At 40.1% G+C, this 17,008-nt stretch overlaps 1 protein-coding gene and 1 long non-coding RNA gene across 11 annotated transcripts in view; one reads left to right on the top strand and one right to left on the bottom strand.

The window, feature by feature from the left end:
• The window catches only part of LOC105377113 (uncharacterized), a 70,563-nt gene extending 53,618 nt beyond the window's left edge, over nucleotides 1–16,945 (bottom strand). The window contains exons 1-2 of one of the 3 annotated variants that reach the window (XR_007095936.1): nucleotides 16,857–16,945; nucleotides 6,810–7,012 (exon numbers count right to left, since the gene is read on the bottom strand). This is a non-coding gene — a long non-coding RNA (uncharacterized LOC105377113). Of the gene's footprint in view, nucleotides 1–6,809; nucleotides 7,013–15,187; nucleotides 15,219–16,681; nucleotides 16,782–16,856 lie in introns of those variants that run through there. The other 2 variants (XR_940887.4, XR_007095937.1) reach the window with 2 other exon arrangements.
• FHIT (fragile histidine triad diadenosine triphosphatase) overlaps nucleotides 1–17,008 on the top strand; it is a 1,504,176-nt gene that overhangs the window by 1,383,474 nt on the left and 103,694 nt on the right. The window lies entirely within an intron of this gene.

The following is a 17,008-nucleotide window of genomic DNA, read 5'->3' as shown; positions in this document are numbered from 1 at the left end:
AACGTTGGGTTTTAGCCTCAAGACTGTCACCAGCTCTGTGTATAACCTTGGTCCGTAACTTTTTCATGGACTCAGTCTCTTCAACTATAACAAGGTTATTAGAGTACTCTGCCTTCTGACCACAATAGGTTTATCTTATGACTTGAGATGGGGAGTACATACCCTAAGGTGGAGGTGGGGAGATGATTTTGTCCTCTATAATCTAGAGTGAAACTCTCAAAAGTCTAGGGAGTACATAATATGTGATATTTGGTCCTGAATTTTAGAGCAGTTTTGAATCACAAAATAGTTTTCTGTGGCTAAGGCATACCAAAAAGCTGAAGCTAATGGAACTCCCCCTGGTTCTAGATAAAAGGATTAAGGCAATCACACAAGCAGAAAAAGGGGAGGATAGTGAGATAAAGTAATCACAAAATAAAGCAAAATGCATAAATGCAAGTGAAGTCATCATTTCAGTGATAGATTTAGGATCAGAATGAGAAAATCCCTCTTCTCATTTCTGAGTGTATGGACAATGAGAAATCTTAAAAGGGGAGCAATTTCTGTCTTGAGATTTCATTTATGACTTAATTATGTGTTCTTTGGTAAATTACTTTCACTGTAATGCTGATTAAGAATGAATGTGGTTATTATGTTTTGATCTTGCATTGCTTCAGTAACTTCTTAGAAATCATCCTTTTTAGATTCAAGTAGAAAGTGTGTCCAAATTTTAACACAGGAAGGACAAACTCCATAACAAAGAGAATGTCGGTGATCTTCATAAACTACCACTAATGACTCATTCTCTTATTAGGTTGAGAGTGGTTCTGCTGATTATTAAGATAATTAGAGCCATCAGATTTTGCCATACCTCACGTTGATGGTATAATTTGTAGTCTTTTAACTAATTAGAGGCTACTTTTATGGTGTGGTTGTAAAAGAGGGTGGAGGGTGATGCAATCCCTGTTAATGAACTTCACGAACCCCTTATTTATCATAGAAAGCAAAACATTAGAGATTATTCTGTGACCACCTTTAAGTGTTGTATGAGAATAGGTAATCAAAGCACAAAAAGAAGCCGAGCAGCGGTGACATAAAACCTTCCTAAATTATCAGCCGGATTTGGAAGCAAGAATGCGATTGCCGGTGAGAGACAGTGGCAAACCCGCTGGTCTCAGCCCAAGGATATTGTGCTGCTCTTTGCTAAGTCAGTTGGCCAGAAGCTATCTACAGAAGTGGCAATTATTCTATTCTTTCTAAGCACTATCTCCTCCCTCCCCACATACCACGTGTTCCACCCTCCCCTTCTCAAATTCTGGTTAGTGATTTCAAGTAATCCTTTAGTCCCATCAGATTTACTTTTAGACATATCCCAGATCCAGATAATTTGCACCATCTTCACTGCAACTCTCTTCCAGGTCCTGGAAGGTAACAGTCTTCTTGTTGATCCTCCAGCCTATGTTCTTGTGCCTGGAATCTACTCTCTGTGTGGAAGAACTCCGCAAAACAGATTTTGTCATGCCCCCGTTGTCAACCTTCCATTGGCTTCCAACCACTACACAATGACACCCAAACTCCTTGTTTGAGTCTGGAATGCCCCGAATGATCTGCCTTCCTCATCTTTTCCATGCCTCTCTTTATTCACCCAATAGCAGTTACATTGCCCTTTTTCTATTCTTGGACACGTTAAGCTTGTTTCTGCCTTAGGCTGTCTGTACTGGCCACTTCCTCTGCGTGGAATGGTTCTTCCTGGATCTCACATGGCTTGCTGTTTCTGCTTATTCATGACTCAGCTCAGATTCCCCACCAAACCCCAGCCAGGCTTTCCCTGTCCTCTCTGCAAGTGGCCCTTACTCCAGGTACTCTCTATCTCATCATCATGCTTGCTGGTCTCTGTATCGTCTATCACTCTCTGAAATGTGCTCATTTATTCAGGGGTTTATTGTCTGTGGCTGGTAAATATTTGTTGAATTAATGAGTTACTTTAACAGGAGAACCATATTTCATGTGCCATCTTTCATAAAACTGTGGTATATAAAACAGATGTAGAGGGAACTGCTCTGGATGCAGTGAGGATGGAGAAGGCACTGGATCCACTTTGATGCTCTCTCTCCCCGTTCCTGCCTCTGCCGAACCTCAGGCTCTCACTCCCCACTCTGAATTTGATGAATGCAATTTGAACACCGTAGCCCTAGACTGTTGGTTGTGGAGGTGAAGGAGTGGCTGGGTACATTTCCACCATCGCCTGCCTGAATCCAAAGCTTGGCTGGTAAGCCCCACTGTGAATCAAGACTTTCTCTCTTGGTTACTCTTCTTTGCAGAGGAGCCATAAAGTAGATTGCAAAGGGTAAAAGCATTCTGTTAGTGAGTGAATGGGTCTTAACAAAAGATCTGTTCCCTTTTATGTCCTGCAGAGGCTCTGACCTAGAATCCCATTTGGCACCTCGTTATATCCCAGGCCCTGGCTCCAAGGGGAGGTCGTTATTTCAGCCTGTAATCTGACATAAAGGCTTCCCATTTTTCAGCTACATAAAGTAATATAACACACATCTCAGCATCAGACATTAGGATTAACACTGACAAGGCTTACGTTAAAATGCTCTGCTAGGCAGCATCTCTAAAGTGAATAGAATAGCTAACGTGCTTGCACGATGAATGATTCTTCATGGGGAGAAGGATTTATGTTTAAATACTATTAACATTTTCACTGTGACAGCCATGGTTTAAAAGACTGGTATTTAAATATAAGATTTAATGTATTTCTATAATAATGCTAATCCCACAGTATTAATTTTTTATGCTTTTAAGTTTGATAACCCAACTCACCAGTTTAGAAAATGTCATTTCTTCCTTGGTTTAATTTTTTTCTTTTTTTAAATGAAATTGAAATTATACAATTAAGATGAAGTACATAATTTGAAAATAAGGAACCATCTATTTGACCTAGAGTGGAGGAGTCAGAAATGGGCAGTTTCAATTTAGGCTGAATGTGGATCATTAATTAGCAGTGACAGTAGTAGTAATACAACTAATTATGAGCCTGAAGCTCTGGCCCCCTCAGGAGAGGCAGCCTTGATGGTATAGGAACTGCTCTGGAGATTATAGGAAGGTGAAAGAATTAGGCCTCCCTTCTAAATGAACAGCATGCAAAATGTTTTTTTTTTTTTCTCTCTCTCTTTCATATAATTTCAGAAGGGCCTTTTAGGCAGAAAGGGTTAAGTCTGAATGCCCCCTCTTCCTTCTTCCACAGAAAAGCATTGCTTCTTAGAGGCCCACGTTGTGTGCAGAGAGAGGGTAATGCATGCATGAGGGTATGACATGAACACCAGTTCATGAGAACAAAGAAACTGCAAGTCGTGTTAACCTGCCCAGGGCCACAGGATATAGGGCTGCGGGTTGTATACTAGATCAGCCAGAGTGGGCTAGATATGCTGCAGGAATGAAGAGCGCCAATATTTAAACAATACAAGTATATTTCTAACATGCTATATTAATCTGTTTTCATGCTGCTGATAAAAACATACCCAAGACTGGGAAGAAAAAGAGGTTTAATTGGACTTACAGTTCCACATGGCTGGGGAGTCCTCAGAATCATGGTGGAAGGCAAAAGGCACTTCTTACATGGTGGCAGCAAGAGAAAATCAGGAAGAACCAAAAGCAGAAGCCCCTGATAAACCCATGAGATTTTGTGAGACTTCTTCACTATCGAAAGAATAGCGTGGGCCAGACCAGCCCCCATGATTCAATTACCTCCCACTGGGTCTCTCCCACAGCATGTGGGAATTCTGGTAGATACAATTCAAGTTGAGATTTGGGTGGGGACACAGCCAAAACATATCATATGCCTTTTGTGGGTTAGCTAGGTACTGTGTATATGTCTCTTCCTTTTAAGAATATAGGCCGATCACTGTCTGCCATCTGCGATCTTGCTGGTTGTCATGGCAGAAAGAAACAAATATGGTAAATTGTGCACGAACTCATAAAGGCTTCCACCTAGAATGGGATCATATCTGTTTTCCTTCATTGGCCATGGCAAGCCACATGGCCACATCTAATTTCAAGGGAGCAGGGAAGGGCAAACTTTTCATTCAGCAGGAAGAAGACAAGCTAGAAATATTTGTTGATGGCTCTTAAAACTACCGCAGGCACCTTGCCAATGGGTGAGCAGGAGCTGAATTTGAGCTGCAATGCTTTGGTTAAGCAATGAGCTCTGGCTCAGAGCTTCATCTGCCTGGAAGAAGGAGCACCTTTTTTTATCCTTTATAAGAAGGTACTTCAGAAGAACAGACCCTTAGCTATGTAATCCATTTTGCCTGCTGGATGACGGTAATAATCTTAATTCATTCACTTGTTTTCATATTCAGAAGTATTGAGTGACTCCCTACTATGAGCTAGACACAGGGAGTAGAGCTGTGAATGAATAATCATGCATGGTCTCTGGCTTCATTGGGTTTATGGTCACTCAGGGAAGACAGATAATGAAAAGGAAATAATTACAGATGTGATGGATGCTAATGGAAGGAGATCTGTAGGATGCTATAGGATCATATGACAGCAAATAAGTTATCCGTTGCAGGCGTTGTTTCTTCTTATGCAGCATTGTGACTTTCTCCTTCAGGGATACCCAATGGTTTTGAATGCTTTCAGCAGATAATTAGACCAAACCACCAATAATTTAGAGGACTTGTTATTTGGGACATCAGTGAGCACTGGAGTAGTCTAAGGGGTGATGTGCGTCACAAAGCAGGCCCTGAAACGTCCCTCTGATGTTCATTAAGACTTTATCGTAGAGTGGCTGGGGCTGAGAGGGAGTGGGTAACTGCATTGGCATGGAGACAAGCATTGACCCAGGTTTCTAAATATCTCACCTTAAAAGGGCCCTGTTGCAGTGTACTGCCCGTATTCCTTGGATAGGACTATTCCTCGGATAGGACTATTCCTCTACACATTGTCCCCTGGCTTCCATCTTTAAATACTATTACATTCTGGCTGTTGTCTTTTTCTAGTCACTGGTGTCTACTTCGTGTTTGTGCAGTGCAAACTAGCCTGAAAGTGCTAGGAATTTAATCTCCCAGCCCACATCCTACCCCGTCACCCCTTGGTAGCAGTTATCAGAATGACTCATGGAAGTTGGTGAGTAAGTACCCAGGCTCCTTTGCTCTTGTGGAGGAATAACTGGGAAACGTATCTATAGTGTTTCCCAGTGAAACGGAGTCCCTCTTGCCCACAGCAATCACATGTTTAATAACACACATTTTCTTCCCTCCCGATCTTACTTCCTCACTCCACTAGTGGTGATTTCTGCAATTACCTTCTAAATCAACTACTTGCCTTCAAAGTCTTGTCTTCAGGGTTTGCTTTAGAGGAACCCAGCCTAAGAAAAGTATATTTAAATACCCAGCCAATAATCCCCAGAATGGGGACCTGTGAAACATTCTCTGTGTCTGCTCTTCTACAAACGGGATGCTAAGAAAAAAGGTGCCATTTGACATAGATAACACAGAGAAATAGCAAGTGAGTCTTGCTGGATGGTCATTGGTCTTAGCTGGCTGATTGCTGTTATGATTGTTGATATGGTTTGGCTGTGTTCCCACCCAAATCTCATCTCAAATTGTAGCTCCCATAATCCCCATGTGTCGTGGGAGGGACCTGGTGGGAATCATGGGAGCGGGTTTTTCCCGTGCTGTTCTTGTGATAGTGAGTAAGTCTCACAAGATCTGATGGTTTTATAAAGGGCAGCTCCCCTGCGCATGGCCTCTTGCCTGCCACCATGTAAGATGTGCCTTTGCTTCTCCTTTGCCTTTCACCATGATTGTGAGGTCTCCCCCACCATGTGGGGCTGTGAGTCCATTAAACCTCTTTTTCTTTATAAATTACCCAGCTATGGGTATTTCTTCATAGCAGTGTAAAAATGAACTAGTACAGTTTTGCTTTCAAAAATACTGGCAGGGTACACTGTAGCATCAGTTACAGGTTTTTTTTTTTCCCAAAGGCATCTTGTGATAATTTGGCATTTTTTGTTTATATTCATCATCCAACTAGTACCAATTACATCACATAATCCTTTGGGGAAAAAACACACACTTTAACACAAAGCAAAGGCCATAGAAAATATATTTGACTATTTTTTTTTCCTTCTGAATACCATGTTTCATGTTCTTCTAGTTCATAATTTCTTCCTCAGCTGTATTGTTTACTATTTAACTTTTTGGCATAAAAATATATTGATGAGAGAAAGAAATTAAGGTCTAATTTATGAAAATAGACTTCTTGTACTTCAGGAAATTCATGTGGCGCTATTTGGAAAAGGTGATGAATGTGATTTTCAGTAGAGTATCTGCATAAATTATGATTGATTTGCAATTCATCACCTTCCTTTATTGTTCCTCCTCAGTGCAGAGACCTTATCTGTGCATTATCAAGGAGGGAATATTTTTAGTTAGTGATTATTTGGCAGAAGTGCTAATAATGATGGGGAAATTTTTAAGAAAATATTTCCAAACTGGGAGTTTCTGCATTTTCAAAAATAGCACCCTGGAAGTTTGCACTGAGCCCTTCCATCTTTCAGGTGTTGCCTTCCTTAAATGATGTCTGAAAATAAATGTTTCTGTGTGAGTTTGGCCCCAGTGGGTTTGGCCTTGAGCTTCAGAGAATGACATTAGGGCACAGAAGTATTGCCAGTGCTGCCTATTCCACAGCCTCCCAATCAGTATAACTGACGTCTCAATCTTCCTCACCCTCATCATCTTTGTACATGGTGTTGGTGTCCATGTTTGCCATGGAATGGGTCATCTTGTGTTTTAGCTGTCTTTGAAATAGATTGCACTTACCCTATATACCACCACCCATGCTTCCTCATCTCTATGTGCTTGTGCTTGCTTCCCCTTCAGCCAAGAGTCCATTCTTCTCATCCTGCCAGCCAGTCAAGCTCTGTTTCAAGTTTCTGCTCAGTGCCACGTCCTCCACAGAGCTTTGTCCATCAGACTCCCCTCTTTCTTCCTCTTCTCTTCAGACCCAGGCACAAGGCAGCCCACTATAGTAGGAAAAAAAGAGATCTTTCGGGTTCTATGGACCTGGGCTCTGCCATTTACTAGCTGGGGGATCATGGATCATTACTGGATTTTCATACCGTGCTATTTCAATGTATAATTCCCACCTTCTGGTTCAGAGAAGGAGCTTGGGGAATGTAAATATTCTTTTTCCTTCTATTTTCTGAAGTTTCCTCACACCTTATCTGACACTCTCTGGTGGCTCCTTTTTATTCTGTTCTACCCTGTATTAGAACTATTTATGTAGATGTTTTATCTCACTTTTCATAATAAACACAAACATACTGATACACACTGACTGCCCTGTGCTCACCAAGCACCTGTTCTCCAGTCAGTCTCATACTTTTCATTAAATCAAACAAACAAGGTAAACAAATAAATACCTGTGTCTTAAGGGTGTTGATGAAGGGTGTGGATGTTATGGGTGGTGATTTGGAATAACAGAAGAATTATATTACACCTAACACTTCAAAATTTATTCAACTTTTCTCCAACATCCTTCTTTTCCCTACAAGTTCCATTCCCTATGGCAACTGTTTGCTTGTTTGCAAGTACTCTCTCTCAATATCTAGCAATCAGTTTTTCTCCTTGCATACCTGGTCACCCTTCTCTCCTTCTTTATACCGAATCTTCTTTTTCTTTTTGTAAGTCAGCTAGCTGTCCTTTGGCCATTCTCATTTGCATTCCTGATCATCAATTCTTCCCAACAAAGGGTCTTCTCAGAAAACAAAGAAGGATTCTAATCATGTATAACATAATTTTCCCATTAAACTTATGCTATTTTCTTCTTCTCAGAGCTCAGCACTTTTAGTATTTTTTTTAATTCTGAAGCTGTTTCAAACCGACAGAAGGGTAGCAAGAACTGCGGTATCCTTTCACCCTGATTATCCACCTTGCAACATTTTAATTCTCTTTCATTCAGAGAGATCAATATATAGATATTCCCTTTCAGATATGATGCTCCATCACTCTTCAGGTGTTTGATTACCTTCCCAAAACAAGAGCACTCTTCTCATTACTATTATAAAAACACTTCCAATCAGGAATCAACACTGATACAGCACTACCATTCAGTCCACAGGCCCCATTCACATTTTGCCAACTGTCTCAGTGATGACATTTTCTTTTTTGGTCCAGGATGCTATACAGAAACATACACTGCATTTAATTATTATTTTTCATCAGTTTCCTCCAATCTGGAATGGTTTTGTTTGTTTGTTTGTTTGTTGAGAGTCAGAGTCTCCCTCTGTCGCCCAGGCTGGAGTGCAGTGACGCGATCTTCAGCTCACTGCAACCTCCGCCTCCCAGCTTCTAAGCAATTCTCCTGCCTCAGCCTCTGGAGTAGCTGGGATTACAGGCACACACCTCCATGCCTGGCTAATTTTTTGTATTTTTAGTAGAGACGGAGTTTCACCATGTTGGCCAGGCTGGGCTTGAACTCCTAACCTCAGGTGATCCACCCGCCTCAGCCTCCCAAAGTGCTGGGATTACAGGCGTGAGCCACAGCACCCAGCCTGGAATGGATTTTTATTCTTTCCCTGTCTCGTGTTTTCCTGCCTTAAAGAGTATAGGTCTTTTTTTCCTGTAGGATGACTCTTTCTCTGGAGCTTCCACTGTTTCTTCATTATTAGACTCAAGTCATGTATTCTTCCATGCCATCTTGGCAGGAATTCCACAAAAACGCTGCTGAGCTCTTCTCAGCATATCACATCAGAAGGCAACCACACTGACCGTATCCCCACTTGATCACCTGGTCCAGTTGGTACTTGCCAGATCTCCCCATCATTCTTTGAGCATTTCTTTATATTCTGGTACAAAAAAGATGCTCCAGGATCATCTTATACTGTCCCTGTCCAGCCTTGGAATCAGCCACTTCTCCAAGCAGCTCTGGTTCCTGTCCGTGTAGAATGATTTTAGAAATCAAGATCTGGGTGCTTAGCATGCTTATTGTTCCTGTGATGTCAATGCTTTGAGACCCAGTCAACACAGAGCTAGGAAATATGTACATATAAGTCCACACAAACACACACTTATTATTATTTCCATATCTGGGTATGTGTATATGTTTACACATAAGCCACATGAATTCATATCAGTATCTTCAATTCAAATCTAAGTCTTTTCCCCCTTCCACATTTATAAATACCTTCTCTGACAGAAACTTGGTTCCCATTATCCTTAATATATATACTCATTTGTTCAATATTAGCCTTCACTGCCCACCACCTGCGTACATCTCATCCTCTGCTCTGCTTCCTCACACACTAGAAACACCACTGCCCCCATCCATGCAGCACCCCTCTCCCCACGTTGCCCTGCATGTTCAGTTACAGAGCAGGCTGCCATCACTACCCACCTCCACAAGACACCCCTCGCTCCTGCCTCCTCAGATGCTATCATTTCTCTCCAAGAAAGAAAGGGAAAAGGCTGGGCACGATGGCTCACACCTGTAATCCCAGCACTTTGGGAGGCCGAGGCAGGTGAATCACAAGGTCAGGAGTTTGAGACCATCGTGGCCAACATGGTGAAACCCCGTCTATACTAAAAATACAAAAAATTAGCCAGGCGTAGTGGCGGGCGCCTGTAATCCCAGCTACTTGGGAGGCTGAGGCAAGAGAATCACTGGAACCCAGGAGGTGGAGGTTGGAGTGAGCCGAGATCGCTCCACTGCACTCCAGCACTCCATCTCAAAAAAAAAAAAAAAAAAAAAAAAAGAAGGTGGGAAAAGGAAGGAAGATCACCATTTATGTCTTTTTGCTGATAGATGATGTGGGAAACTCCCATACACCTTTCACAGCAGTCACACATATGTTGAATGGGCAAACCATTCTTTGACATCTACTCACTCCCTTTTACTCTCTCTGCATTACTTACTTGTCTCCAAGGCTGTGTCTAAGCATAGTTGAAGACAGAAATCATTTAATAATATTCAGCTGAGCCAACTGGCCATAAAGCTGAGACTCCAATTAGGGGAACTGGAAGCTCTGGGCAGTGGTGTCAGGGGACCAGCAGGTGGCGCCCGTAAGTTCTACTCTAAACCTTTCTGTATCCAGGCTTGTTCACTACCTTCTTTCACCACCTGGTTTCTCTCTATCAGAGCTCTTTAAAAATATGTTAGCATTCACAGTTCCCAGTATCGCTGCAGACATAAATGTTGAGAAATGCATTCTTGTTTTCCTTCCCAAGGCACCAATAGTACAAAGACAAGCATAAAGCCCCTTAGGATACAAAAAAAAAAAAAAAAACCCAGCACTTTGCACAGCATAGTCATAAGTGACGTCACTCTGTAATCTTTAACAGGAGTGGTGTTTTCCACGCTCATAGGACAAACTGACTCTTGAATCTTTGTTAGGCCTCCCTGTCTAATCGATATGTAAGTTTCTCTAGGGAAAGAATAGGGTGGAATATTATTTGTATAATCTTGTCCTATGAAAATATGAAAGAGATTATTGGCAACATTTTTGATAACCTGGTGGAATAAAACTCCAAGCCCTGCCTAAGGTAAATTATCATAAATCTTATATGTCAGGAACGTGGTAGAGAGTTGCAGGTAGGCAGTGAAGTGGCCAGAATGTTTAAAAAAAAAAATATTCTGACCTGGAATCTGTGGCAGAGTGGAGAGAGTTGCGGTGACATATCTGATCTCATTAGTGCTTAAGGTTCCTCACGCAGAGATGGAGAAATGACAGTGTATCGCTCATTCCTGCCCTCTGAAGCCTTTCCATTAGAAATGCTGCAATTTAATCTCACATGTCACAAATCAAACCCCAACTTGAAAACTGCTTCCCCTGAAAAGGTGAACACATTCCATGCCTTGTGGAAGGAACTCCAGTGCCCCTCAGAGGAAGTGCTGTGTCCCCGATAGCAGCTGGTAATATCAGCTCCACATTTGAAAGGACCCCAGGCATCAGTATTCAGAGACTGCGATTGTTACATTAGCGTGACTTTTTGCAACTTATGTGACTTTGGGTGAGTTGTTGAAATTCCACTTGACTCAGTTTCTTTATTCACTAATTGAGCATAATCTCCACCATTCAGGGTGGTTGTGGGGATTAAAGGAGAGTTAAAAAAAAAAAAAATACTCAGCCGGGGAGCTAAGTACTTGATAAATAGAAGCTGTAACTTATTATTGCTTACTGTTACTTCCAGACTCTGAGCTAAGGGCTTTATATTGTTTACTTCCTTAATTCCCACAGAATTAGATAGATATTATAAAAAGCCATTTTGCAAAGAAGGAAACTGAGTCTTAGAGAAATTAGATAACATTGCTACATTATACAGCTAGAAAAATGGTACATTCCAAAGCTAATGAAATCTTTCTGTAATGTTACACTGCTACTTGTATATTGGAAATAAAATTTGTTATGCCTTACAATTGAGTATACTACTAAGAAGAATGGTCTGCATCTATATTCCTTTGTGAGAGAAGGCTGTAATTTTCCTCCCTTGTGATTTTTATGCCTGGTCCTAGTAACAGGGTTATACTGATTTACAGAATCTATGGGGAATAATCTCTTTTTTTCTATCATATGGAAGAGTTTGCATAAAATTGGAATGATGTCTTCCTTGAACATTGGGAAAAATTTGCGTGTAAAATCACCTGGTGTGATGTTTTCTTTGCAAAAAAAATTTTAACAATTACCTTAATTTATTTAATAGCCATAGGGCTATATAAACTTTTTGTTATTTCTTGGGTCCATTATGGTTAGTTATAAATTTTTAGGCATTTATACATTTCATCTAAATTTTTAAAAATTTTGACAGATAGTTGTTGACAATAGCCATTTATTATTTTAGTTGTAATAAATATTCACTTTTTCATTCAAAACATCTTCCTCTTTTAATCGATATTGTCAAAGGTTTATCTATTGGCTGGGCGTGGTGGCTCACACCTGTAATCCCAGCACTTTGGGAGGCCGAGGCGGGTGGATCACGAAGTCAGGAGATCAAGACCATCTTGGCTAACACAGTGAAACCACGTCTCTACTAAAAATACAAAAAAATTAGCCGGGCGTGGTGGCGGGCGCCTGTAGTCCCAGCTACTTGGGAGGCTGAGGCAGGAAAATGGCATGAACCCGGGAGGCAGAGCTTGCAGTGAGCCAAGTTAGTGCCACTGCACTCCAGACTGAGCGACAGGGCAAGACTCCGTCTCAAAAAAAAAAAACAAAAAAAGGTTTATCTATTAATTATTTTATCAAAGAATCTACTTTTGACTTTTTTGATCTTTTCTAGAAAATATTTTTCTATTTCATCAATTTGTGCTCATATTTATTGTGGTTTTTCTTTTGCTAAATATGAACTTATTTTGTTCAGTTTTTGTATACTTAAGATTGACACCTTATTAACATTGAGGCTATCTTCTATTATAAGTACAGATTTTAATATGTAGCATTTCATTATTATTCAGTTGTAGGTAACTTTTAATTTCTTCATAGTAAAATATCAAGTGGGGGAAAATAAGTTTGTGAGGATAGCATAAGATTAAATAAGGATGGAATCCTTTTTATAAAATTTAAAACAGCTTAGATTATAAAGCATGTTAGGACCAATTATACATGCAATAAAACCCTGTAAGAAGAAAGATGAACCTGGCACTCAGGAACATAATGACCTTGGAGACAAGAAGATAAATGGGGGAGGACAACATGGATAGATGGGGGTCATTATGAGGGTCAAAGCTGTTGGTTTATATGTGGCATTCATGGGTGTTTATTCCATTTAACAGAATAACTTACCAAGTAATATCAGGAAAATTTTTATAATTAACATTGGGCAAATTCTTACTATGTACCAGCCCATTTTAATACTCACTGTATCCTCAAAAGAACCCTGCGAGGGGAAAACATTGTTTAATGTTACAGTTATGATAGATCCAAGTACTGAGTGCAATTAGTATTGAATCAAACTGCTTCAGAGGCCACAATTGTGATCACTGGATATGAGTTTTGGAAAGGCAAACCAAAGTCTTTTTAGTAATCAGGTCTGTAGTTATGTGAGGTAGAGAGCTTCCTGTCAGTGGAAGGATTCCAACAGAGCCCATTTTCTCCTTCCAGGGATGTGCCGTTGGATAAAGAGACTTAGCTGCATGAGCTTCTTAGCCTCCTATTAATACCAAAGGCCTCAGGGCAGTCTGGCTCCTCTCTCTCTGCTCACTTAATGAGAAAGTTATTTAGAGAGGGAGCCTAGTATGGCAATAATATGGGCTCTAGAGTTTCCTGGACCTCGGTTCAAATCCCAGATCTACCAATTACCAGCTTTGTGCCTGTGAAAAACAATTCTATTCCCCAGACCTCAGTTTTTTCATCTGTAAAAATCACAAAATTGTGAGGATTAAATAAAATAAGCTCTGGATTCTGCCCTGCACTGTGCTTGGACTAGAGAGTGCTCTGCGGTGTGAGAGAGAGGGAAATGAGATTTGCTAAATATGTGATGCCAGCACCTGGATTCCCTAAGACAATGAGTTCTGACACTTCACGAGGTAGAATAATGACCTAAGTGATGATTGGGATGCTCATTGGAAAGTCAGATGGGAAACTTGACCTCTTTGCCTTCCTGTCCCTGTTTTTTTGCACATGCGACGTAAGCACAATACCGAGCTTCAATTATTTATCAGACGTATTTGTGTTCAGTGACACGTGTGGCAGATATAAATCTGTGGGTTCTTCCCCCTGGAATGCTTCCGGGCGAGTTATACAGCAGGGACCCTTTAAAGCATCAGCGTTGAAGAGCAGAGATTGATTTCCTTCCCAGCCTTTTTCTTTCATGCACCTTAGGCTTCTGGGGATTTCCTTGCAGTGCAGGGCTAACGACTTTTGATACCAATCAATGCAAAGCTAATTAATTTACTTCACAATTTTCATGTACTCGAAGTACCCAATGGTTCAAATGATTTGTTGTTGTTTTTTGTTTGTTTTTGTTTTTTTTAGAAGTCTGTTCTTTGTCTTATTTTTATTTTTTACACGTGGACTAATTAGCTCCTGATGACTTTATCTATTGGTGGGATTCTAATTGTAGCAGGAGTGTGGATTGCAACGAAGGAGCACTGAGATTCCATGACTTCCATGCTTTTTAACTGCTAAGTCTTCATGACAGGAACTCTAGACTCTCAATAAGTATAATTTTATTTTGATAGTTTATGGAAATTAGCTAGCTAATTTTAACTGTCTCTGGGAAGTTCCAACATGGCATGAGATGGAAAGTGTCTATGTGTGTGTCCCCATATCTCTGTGTCTGCATATGTGTCTGTCACACACACACATGCACACCCACAATAGAATATGATGAAAATAAAAATTTGTGGAAATTATTCTCAATCTGGAAACTATAAATTCTTCACTTCTTAATTTAAAACATCATCCTTTCATGGTGATATTAAAGAATTAGTTCATTTAGATAAGCTTCCAGTTTCATATTTTGAAGTATTTAGTGGATATTTTATTGACTGAAGATTACACTTAGTTTTCATGTTGGTATAATTTAAATATATTATTCATAGGACTTGCAAATCACATAATACAACTGAGAAAACAAGATGTACCTCAATGATAGAAAGTATAGGCTATGAAATTCACCAAACTTGAGTTTGAATCTTGGCTCTAGCTTACAATGGCCAGTTTGAAATATCTACATTCTTTGAGTTTCAGCTTCTTGAACTGTAAAATGAAGATCATAATAGCCTATGTGGATATTTCAAAAATGAGTGTTCAAACAGTGAGATACCACCACACACTTATTAGAAGAGCCCAAATCAGAACACTGACAATGCCAAATGCTAGAGAGGATGTGAAGCAACAGGAACTCTCATTCATTTCTGTTGGGAATGCAACATATTACAGCCTCTTTGGAATACAGTTTGGCGATTTCTTACAAAACTACATGCTCTTACAACATGATCCAGCAGTTGTATTCCTTGATATTTACTCAAAGGAGTTGAAAACATAGCCACACAAAAATCTACACATGAATGTTCATAGCAGTCTTATCCTTAATTGCCAAAACATGGAAGCCACCAAGAAATTCTTCAGTGGGTGAATGGATAAATACACTGTGGTACATCCCAACAAGGGTTTCTGATTCAGTGCCAAAAACAAATTAGCTATCAATCCATGAAGAGACATGGCGGAAACTTAAATGTATATTACTAAGTGAAAGAAGCCTACCTAAAGAGGCTGCATGCTCCATGATTCTGACTATATGGAATTCTGGAAAAGGCAAAATTATGGAGATAATAAAAAGATCAGTGGTTGCCAAGGATTAGGAGGGAGGGAGGGATGAATAGGCGGATCACAGAGGATCTTTTAGGACAATGAAACTACTCTATATGATACTGTAATGGTGGATACATGCCATTATACATTTACCCAAACCCATAGAATGTACAACACCAAGACTGAATCCTCTTGTAAACTATGGACTTTGGGTGATATGTCCTTGTAGGTTCACAAATTGTAACAAATGTACCAGTCTGGTGGGGGGAAGTTAATATGGGAGGCAACATATGTGGGGCAGGGGATATGTGGGCTATCTCCGTACCTTACTATCAGTTTTGCTGTAAACCTAAAACTTCTCTAAATATAAAGTCTTTACTGTTTTAAAATGAGTATTCATGTAAAAGGTGTGGCGCATTTCTTGGTATATAGTATGTGTGATATAAACACCACCCGCTTGTCGATGGGGGTAATATTACTGTTTGGTAATTCGTTCTCTTGCTCTACTCTCTACCCGAAGAACAAAGCACCACCCAAGAGTTTAAAAATTAAAGAGCTTACACTGAAGGCCTCCAGCTAGTTTACCTAAGGAGATGGAATGTGGCTGGGTGGAGAGCCATATGCTGGAGAACAGAACTCCACCATACCTTGAATGATTATATGTGATTTTCAGAACTACTCAATGTAACAGTTTAATTAAAATATCCAGGAAGAACTAATATCCCCCGACTGGGTGAATCTTATCTCTACTAAACTGAGACTCAAGGAATGTGTTTTAGAGCAAGATGAAAGGGTAAATTACAATCAGTTCTACAGGTATGTGTGACTACTCTTTTTCTCTTAATTGGGACCTTCTTACTAGTTTGTTTTAAAAAGACTGCAAAGTCGTGTCTGATTTTCATGTTGTCAGAAGCTTGTAGGAGCTTTAATCTTGCAGTTTAAAAATAACACCTCCAAGAAGAAACTAACATAATAATGCATGTAGCATCACTGGGGATCAAGGTAAATTCTAGTGGGAATGGCAACTTGTGATAGTGATATTCTGTAGTTTTGGGCAAGACCCTCTTGTCTCTTGAGAACACGAATGAATGTAATAAGCCTGACTGAGGGGTGAAATGAGCTTTGCAACAATGACTAAGAACAAAGCTAAGTATTACATAGGTTGGGTGTGTATCAAGTGATAATTGAATGGGCTTGGAGTTGGCTAAACCTGGGTTTGAAGCTCAAGTCTACCACTCCATTAGCTGTTTAACTTAAGACAAGTTACTTAGTTTTTCACACTTTGCCTTCTTCTCTGTTAAATTGAGATAAACATAGGTCCCTTGCATGGGAGTTGTAAGGATCAAGTACAATAATGGATATGAAATACTTAGCATAGGTCTGGCACATAAGAAATGCTCTGCATATTTCTAATCTTAACATTTTCTATTAAATATTACATTTTACCTGACATTTAACCAGTAGCTAATGAGCCATAAAAGTTCTAGTTAGTTAATAATTAATGAGCTCTGATCGTTTTTGAGCTATGAGGATTACACCACTCTACTACCACCATCTTCATCAACTTTAGATTCCTCATATGAGACCATCAGCTGACTGTCTGGAACTCAGCCAGATTGACCTTGTTAGAAGATCCAGGAGGAGCCATTGAGTCCTGGATCAGAATATCACAGCTTCATCATCAGTGTCCAAATCCAAAATAGAGAAGACCCTGCTCTTTTCATTGATTTTTGTTTACCAACCCCTTGTGAACAATGAAACTGGAAGACTATT

This window comes from Homo sapiens, chromosome 3, assembly GCF_000001405.40.
Source record: "Homo sapiens chromosome 3, GRCh38.p14 Primary Assembly".
Lineage (NCBI taxonomy): Eukaryota > Metazoa > Chordata > Mammalia > Primates > Hominidae > Homo > Homo sapiens.
This window is presented reverse-complemented; position numbering and strand designations above follow the sequence as displayed.